Here is an 8,299-nt window from a genome sequence, read left to right on the forward strand (position 1 = left end):
CTGCCTCCCACCACCAACCATGGAGCCCAGGTCACTTGTACCAAGGAGCATCCAAAGACCAGTGCTGATCAGTCCGCAACACCCCTCAGCCTCCCTCCTACACTCATCAAGGCCCAAAGTCCAGAGGGTTCAAGACAGCAGTGGGATGGTGCACCAGCACTGACCCGAGTGTGCACAGACCCACCTGGGCTGCGACAGCATCTGGGCTTGACCACAACCACACTCCAAAATTAGAGCAGGTGCCATGAGAGATGAGGCAGTGAGAGCGGACACCCCCAAGCTGCAGGAGAAGGGGGGATCTCCTGGACCCTCGAGAGTACTGGGGGACCTCATTTGGTAACTGTGACCTGGACAACTTCAGTTGCGTCTTTGGAGCTACTGCCCTGCCAACTCAGGAGGACCAGGACTCCCTCTTGTCCCAGGCTCCCATCAGCTCTGAAGTGTACGCAGCCTTGGCTGTGCCCTTTCTCTGTGTTTCCCTGCAGAAGTGACAGTTGAGAAGCAGGTACACAGCAGCTCTGACCAACCCCGCACAAACAAACCCAATGCTCCTGGGTGTGGTTTAACCAGCCCCAACTGCACTATCATCCAGGAGCTTGCAGGCTAACAGCAGGCAGTGAGCAGTGAAGTAGAGGCTGTGGTGGAGACTCCAGACCTGGGACAAGGTTCCATTTTGCGATGAGAGGGTGTGGGTGGCACAGTTGGGTGCCTCAGGGAAATGGAGCACAGGCCTGGCTCATGACCCAGTCAAGGGGAGTGCCTCCAGGAGTGGTTCATGGTTCCCAGGCCCAGCAATCGGGCTGGTCACCCCTATGGGGGGCGGATCTCGGAAACACAGCCTGGGGTGGATCCGCATAGACCCTCCCTTCAAGACCTGGGAGCTTGACACTGTTAGCAGGATGGGCACAGTGGCCAGATAGCTGGCCAGGTCCTTGAAGCAGGTGCCATTTCTGCTTCTCACCCTGGCCCCCTGATGGATGGCCCCAGCTATGCCTTCTGGGCCTGGCATCCGCACATCTTGTGCGAACGTGGCACCACCCCATTCCTATCTTCTCCTTGGGGCCCCTCTCTGCCCGTCCCTTCGCGCCTGACCGAGCTGCTCCCCTTGGGCAAAAAAGTAAGAAAAAAACTGATGACTGAAGAGAAGTAAAGAATGGGTGGAGATCATCTGTATGCCTGTTTTCCCAGCGCTTTGGGAGGCCAAGGTCAGTGGATCACTTGAAGCCAGGATCTTGAGACCAGGCTGATCAACATGGAAAAACCCCATCTCTATTAAAAATACAAAAATCAGCCAGTCTTGGTGGAACGTGCCTGCAGTCCCAGCTATTTGAGTGGTTGAGGCACAAGAATCACTTGAGCCCTGAAGGAAAGGATTACAATGAGCCCAGATTGCACCACTGCACTCCAGCCTAAATGACAAACTGAGATTTTGTCTCCAAAACAAAACAAAGAACAAGAACGGGTGGGAAATACTTAAAATGATCAAATTCTATTTGGTTGCTTTGATGTTCTACAGCTGAAACTCAATCACAGACAAAGTAGTATTTCATTATTTTTCCATCAGTAACTCAATAACTAGATATTTCTGGTGGATAAATTGCTACAACAGGTTAAAAGTTTTCATTCAGGTGCTCTTTATTTCTGATATTCCTTGGTAACCATCCTTGCAGGGATAACATTCTCATCACTGTAGAACTTTAGCTTCTCTTTCCGACTCTGTAGGACACGGGTCCCTGAAGTTCTCATTGATGTCACCTCAACATTTTCCTCCAGCCTTGCCCCCTGCTGTTATGTTTTTTTCCCTCACACTGAGCACTTCCCTGTGCTTCCTTTAAGTTGCATGTGGCCTGGACACAGTCACTCATGCCAGTAATCCCAGCACTTTAGGAAGCTGAGGCAGGAGGATCCCATAAGCCCAGCTGAGGCAGGAGGATCCCAGAGCAACACAGAGAAACCCTGTCTCAAATTGTCTTTAATAAAAATTTTGGAATTATTAAAAAATGAAATAAATAAGAAAAGAGAAAAATAGTTTGCACCTACATAGTAGATTTTAGTGTCCCAGTGCCTGGAAGAGAACTTTGGATTTCTCTACCCCGCTAGGCACGCCTTCCCTAGCAGCAAAGATGGAGCTCCAGTTCCTCAGACGGTGATGAGCCACAGGAAGGGCAGGGGGTGGGACCAATGAAGATCCTCTTGGGCTGCCTGACTTCCCTCAGTGTACACATCAGCTCAGCCCGAAGTAGGGCGAAGATCTCCCAATCGACACGAACCAAGGAATTCAAACTCTCCTCAGGGGCAGGATACGTCTCCAGGCTTAACTTGCTCAGCCCACTGGTGTGGCACAACAGGTCCTTCAGGGCACCCATAGACATACAATTTCTGCCAAAGTAGAAGGTGGTGAGCTGGGAGCAGTGGCTCAGGCCAGGCAGGATGGCACTGAGTTGGGAGTAGTGGATCTGACAGCCCTCCAAGATGAGGGTTTCGAGAGAGGCAGCAATTTTCTCTAGCAGAGCTCCGAGGGGTTCAAGACTGATGCGGAACAGCAGCACGTAGCTGAGATTCAGATGCTTTAGGTAACCGAGGCTTGGGTACTGGGAGAGACACTTCATGTCTTCTTCCAATAGGTAGCCATAAGTTAATTCCAAGTTCTCCAAGGGGTTCTGGAGGCACCTGTGGAGATCAAGAAGTTAGTTCTGGGCAATGGTACCAGTTAGATGAAGGTAGTGCCTTCATCTAGGAAAATGCCTGCGTCAAACAAACACAAGTTTGTTCCCACCATCTGATGATGGTCCTCATGGAAGTTGCTGCATGATGAGGACCCTGATCGTTCAGGGGCTGTCCCATTTTAGCCTCAGCCCTTTCAACATTGCTTGTGTGATTGGTTCAAGGCCATAAAATCTCTAAAGCCTTTTTTTTTTTTTTTTTCATCTTTTAGCAGAAAACTTTATCTCTGGGCTACAGGTACCCGGTGGGAGATGTGAACAAAGAACTCAACTCAGCAAGGTCTAGGGACATCAGCTAGGGCTACATGTCGGCAGGGGCTCCCTGACATGCCTGCATCTGCAAACCAACTGTCACTTTTTACCACTCTCACGCCTACTCCCTCACCTCCATCCCAGAAGCACACATTTCCCATGTCAGTTACCTTTCCTGGAGTTCAAAACAACCTTTTACAAACAGGGAATCAGAGACAGGATCATTCGTGATCACTAAGCCGGTGAGGACAGACGTTCTATTGTGAAATGGACAGGTTTGATGCGCTTTCCCTCCTTTCATACCCTCCTCTATTATCTCTTTGACATCATATCAACTTGAAACACACTTTGTAACAGGAAATTCACACGTGCACCCCCAATAGAGCTGAAACCCCCACTAACTAGCTTGTACATGATGTCTCTCTCTAGCTTCTACCCCAGGTGACCCCTCTGCCCTTATTGGAGCGTTCCTGTGATAGCCACTCCAGGACATGGAACACTGAATGGGACAATGTGTTGACATTCTGGTGTCCCCTTCACTGTGACGTTGCCACTGGCTGGCACACAGTACACGCCTTCTAATGTTTGCTGTAACAGAACAAGGCTATGCTGTGGTCTGCATATAAAGTGCATGATCCTTCCTCACCTGATCAGCTGTTCCAGGTGCCCACTGAAGAAGGTGATCAATTTTATTTTAAGCAACTGGAGGTGTTCCAGCCTGAGGAACACAGAGCTGAATTTGGTGACTAACCGTCCTTCGAGTTCATTATCTGACATGGAATGATGGCACCTGGAGAAAACGAGTTTGCGAAGATTCTTCATCTCCTTCAGGTAACAACGAAGCTTTCTTATCAGACGTGGCCAGGACATGTTGCGAATTTCCAGCTGTTGAATACTATTCAGGTATATTATTTTCAATGACTTTCTGAGATGTTTAATCGGCGTTAGATAATTGACCAGCTTACTACAGCACAGGTGTACTAAACCTCTCCTTTGGTAAACCCACTGAAAGAGGTATCTCAGGCATTCATCCTGGGGTATTTCCTTGAGGCAGATGTCTATGAACACCTTTAAGGGCTGGTGCTCTCCCATCCTTGGACAGTCCTCTGCTGTCTGCCTCTTACTCATGGTCTCTGGGAAGCAGGACAGGGCCCAGGCTCCAGGCCATCTGGCCCAGAAATTCTCATCAACATCCCGCAAATCCAGCACTTGAAGTTTCCACCTCCTGTGGGTAAAGTAAGGGAGAGACTCAGAATTTAGAAGGACTCATCCCTGACCTTTGCTTTCATTCTCATCCCATAAATCAGCTGCTCCTGTCCTCAGTGCTCCCTGTTCTCTTTGTCTTTTCTCAATCCCTGTTCCCTTTTGATTCCCTTTTGATTCTGACTTTTGATTCCCCACTTCTATTCCCTTTACCTTCCACTGAGTAAAGGCAGGTTTCTGTTCCCACAGTGGACCCTGTATGGTGAGCACTCCTTTCTCTGAGGATCTGGACAATGGCCAAAGTCTCCCTGATCTTCCTCGCCAACACCATCAGAAGACTCTGGGCCACACTTGGGCTACTTCTCTGCCTGACCCTGCTGTTCTTTCCCTGGACACCTGAGCCCTATCTACCAGCCCTCCTGGGTCACCTCACCTGGGGCGATCCTTCTGTGTAAGCAGCATATGAAGCCCTTCCAGCAATGCTTTTAAGGTCTCCAAATGAAGCGTCTTCATCAGTGATCCCAGAGGGAGGCAGGTGAAGGGCCAGGCCTGCACCATCACCGTCAGAGTCTGGAAGTGTCTCCTGCGGAAGGCCTCCATGAAGAGTGGGAGATAGAGCACCCTGGGCAGCTCCTCCATGGCAGAGATGGACAAGGCCTGGTCTCTCAGCAGGCTCTGCCCTGCCAGCTCCAGGAGTCTGGGTGGGGCCTGGATGCTCATCCTGATAGATCTGCAAGAAAAATCTCTAGAAGACAAATCCAGGGAAAATGTATCACTCTCATGGCAAACACAATCATCTGCTTCTACTGGTACCAGGAAGAATGTCTTCCAAACACCAAGGAGGGAGGGGTCAAGGAGACCACTGGCTTATTAATTTTCATCCTTCATTCCACTGAATCCCAGAACCACCGGACACTGCCACTGAGGATCCTGAAAGCCAAGCTCTACCTCTTTGAGGAAAAATTTCTTGTCACTTACCACCCTAAAGCAATGAGAATGAGAGTGTCCTGTGGCCCCAGACAGCCTCCATTCTCAGTTCACACCATAAACGTGCTGGGGGAACACTAAAGGGACTCCCTAAAATCGATGCCATTATTTTTTATTTTGAAAATTTTCTACCAGAAATGGACCAGGTGCTGTGGCTCATGTCTGTAATCCCAACACTGCTGGACACCAAGGCAGGCAGATCACTTGAGGTCAGGAGTTCGAGAACAGCCTGGCCTACATAATGAAACGATGTCTCTACTAAATACAAAAAAATTAAGAATCATTTGACTCCAGAAGGCAGAGGTTGCAGTGAGCCAAGATCTCACCACTGCTCTCCAGCCTGGGTGACAGAGTTGGACTCCGACTCAAACAAAAACAAACTGATAAATTAATTAATTAAAATGTTAGCCAGGTGTGGTCATGCATGACTGTAATCCTAGCTACTCTGGAGGCAGAGGAAGGAGAATCACTTGAAGCCCAGAGGCAGAGTTTCCAGGGAGCCCAGCTCAGGGCCCTGCACTCCAGTCTGGGTGACACACTCAGAGTACATCGCAGAAAAAAAACAAAATAATTCACTGGAACTGTAAAAGTGGTGTGATGGTATTCCACAGCATTTGGAAGGTATGTATAGAAATGCTAACTGTAGCTGGGCGCGGTGGCTCACTCCTGTAATCCCAGCACTTTGGGAGTCTGAGGTGGGCAGATCTCCTGAGGTCAGGAGTTTGAGGCCAGCATGGCCAACATGGCAAAACCCTGTGTCTACTAAAAATACAAAAATTAGCTGGGCATGGTGGTGAGTGCCTGTAATCCAAGCTACTCAGGAGGCTGAAGCAGGAGAATCGCATGTAACTAGGAGGCAGAAATTTCAGTGAGCCAAATCACACCATGGCACTGCAGCCTGGGCAACAATAGGGAAACTCCATCTCAAAAACTGTAAAAGTGCTACCATGCTATTCTAGAGCACTGTAACTCTGAGATGAAGGTTCCTATAGACATCACTTCCACATACTCACAATTACCCACTTTTTGATGGATCCTAGGGGCAAAGATAAATCCCATGATCTGAGCAAAACTGCACTCTTGAGATTGGTGTGTGGGATACCTTTAAGGATTTTATGAAAATGAAAGCATACTTGGAGAATCACAATAACACCAAGTCTATGAACTGTAATTGAAGGGCACAAAAACAGATAACTTCAAATGTCAAGAAATAAAAATTCATGTCACTGTAAATTTTTAATATATTTTTAAAAAACCTGCTTCGATAAGAATTTTAAAATGACAAAAACTAAGCACAAATCACAATTTGATGGATGAAGACAAAACTACATTTAGAGGAAAAATGAAAGCCTAAATCTGTTCATCTCACGAAACAGACAGAAAAATATTGTGTGCCACTTTGGGATGTGTGTCACCGTCCCTGACTGGCTGGCTGCTGATCAGATGGGCATGACCCTAAGAAGGTGGTGACTTACCAGCGCTGGACTCACTTTGCAGAGTTCTGGGACCTCTCAGGGAACCAAGCAGTAGCTCCAGGAATGAGTGCTGTGGGTCTCTTCTGGGTACCCTCAGGAGCTTTTATGGACCTTTCTAACCCCACCCTTCCCTTCTCAATCACCAGCTTCCAATCAGAAACTGATACCTGATTAGATCTTGCAGTCACACCCAGTTAATCCTGATTGAGTTTTCAGCTTTCTTCTGACTAATTGATCGAATTAGATACACATTTACGGAAGTAAAAGAATAAATAATAGGGTGAAAGTCCAAAACTCATTCGTTCATTTATTCCCGAAATACTGATGAAGTTTGGCTAATACACGACTTTCGTAGTGATGTAGGGAAGGGATTAATCTGTTCCTGATATTAGGCCAAAAAAAAAAAAACCTTAAGGTGTCCTTATTGGAGGATGTTTGGCCACATCAAAATTGTCAAAATGTTTCAGAGCTACAACAGCCTGAAGAAGATAGTGATGTCATTCCCAAGAAAACAGAATAAAAAGCTGTGTATATCGAATGGTCACCTGTGTTTTATGCTATCTAACATAGCAGATCATATGCACATTCAGGTAGAAGAAAGGAACCACTGAGAGTGTGATCTATCTCAAGACTAAGTCAAGGCTTCACCGAAGGAAATCAGGACAAAGTGACCAAGTGAGGTGGGGACTGAGCGGAATGAGACTAGGTGTTCTAATGGGAACCTGCAAAGGAAACAAGACAATGTAAAACATGGCGGTTATCTTGTGGGCATCTAGATGTCAGGACTCAAAGTCTTTTGTCAAGATTGAGTTTATTTATTGATTGTTTGTTTGATTTTCAGACTGGGCCTACATCTGTCACTCAGGCTGGAGTGCAGTGGCACGATTTCAGCTCACTGCAGCCTCAACCTTCTGGTTCAAGTGATTCTCTCACTTCTGCCTCCCAAGTAGCTGGGAATTACGGGTGCACTCCAACAAGCCCTACTAATTTTTGTATTTTAGTCGAGATGGGGTTTCACCATGTTGGCCGTCACCATGTTGGCCCGGCTGGTCTCAAACTCCTGACCTCAAGTGATCTCCTCACCTTGGCCTCCCAAAAGGCTGGGATAACAGGCATCAGCCATCTCACCCACCCTAGATTGAGTTCAGAAATTAAAAGGAGAATCATCAAAAGAGATAGGGCAGACTTAAACCATAACATTCACTTTGAAAACACAGGGGGCAGGTATAGTCTTGGCCCTACTAGAAGGTAAAGGGTGTTTACTCACAAAACTGATGGGCTCCTCTCAGAAAACCAGCTTGCAAAGATGGAATCTAAGAATGTGAGCTGGAGCAGAGGCCAGAGAGAAGATTGGGGCCAGACCTGGGAAGGGAGGCTCTCCCAAGCTGGAAGCCACCCAGGTAGAAACTGTGGGCTCTACAGGATGTGAGAGAGAAATGAACGAGGGTCCATATGTCCGTCATTGTTCTATCATCTGGAAACCTTTCCTTTAGACTCTGGGATCTTCCCACAGTGGAACATTTCCCAGCAACCATTGGCCCCAGTCATTTTCCAGGACCCTTCATCCAAATCTTAATCTCACCCACTCCCTTCCTACTCTAATTTGATAATTCATGTTTCCTCCTTCTTAGAGTCCTTTCCTGTCACTAATATTGAACA

General features: G+C 47.5%; 1 protein-coding gene across 1 annotated transcript; it reads right to left on the reverse strand.

Moving 5' to 3' along the window:
• Positions 1–1,475: 1,475 nt before the first annotated feature.
• On the reverse strand, positions 1,476–6,718 carry PRAMEF14 (PRAME family member 14). Its single transcript, NM_001024661.2, has 4 exons — positions 6,641–6,718; positions 4,612–4,923; positions 3,622–4,200; positions 1,476–2,670 (listed from the first exon to the last, which is right to left on the reverse strand). Exons 2-4 carry the CDS (start codon positions 4,896–4,898, stop codon positions 2,112–2,114), a joined length of 1,425 nt encoding a protein of 474 aa, NP_001019832.2. The 5' UTR covers positions 4,899–4,923; positions 6,641–6,718; the 3' UTR covers positions 1,476–2,111.
• Positions 6,719–8,299: the final 1,581 nt, after the last annotated feature.

The sequence above is a fragment of the Homo sapiens genome, chromosome 1, assembly GCF_000001405.40.
Source record: "Homo sapiens chromosome 1, GRCh38.p14 Primary Assembly".
NCBI lineage: Eukaryota > Metazoa > Chordata > Mammalia > Primates > Hominidae > Homo > Homo sapiens.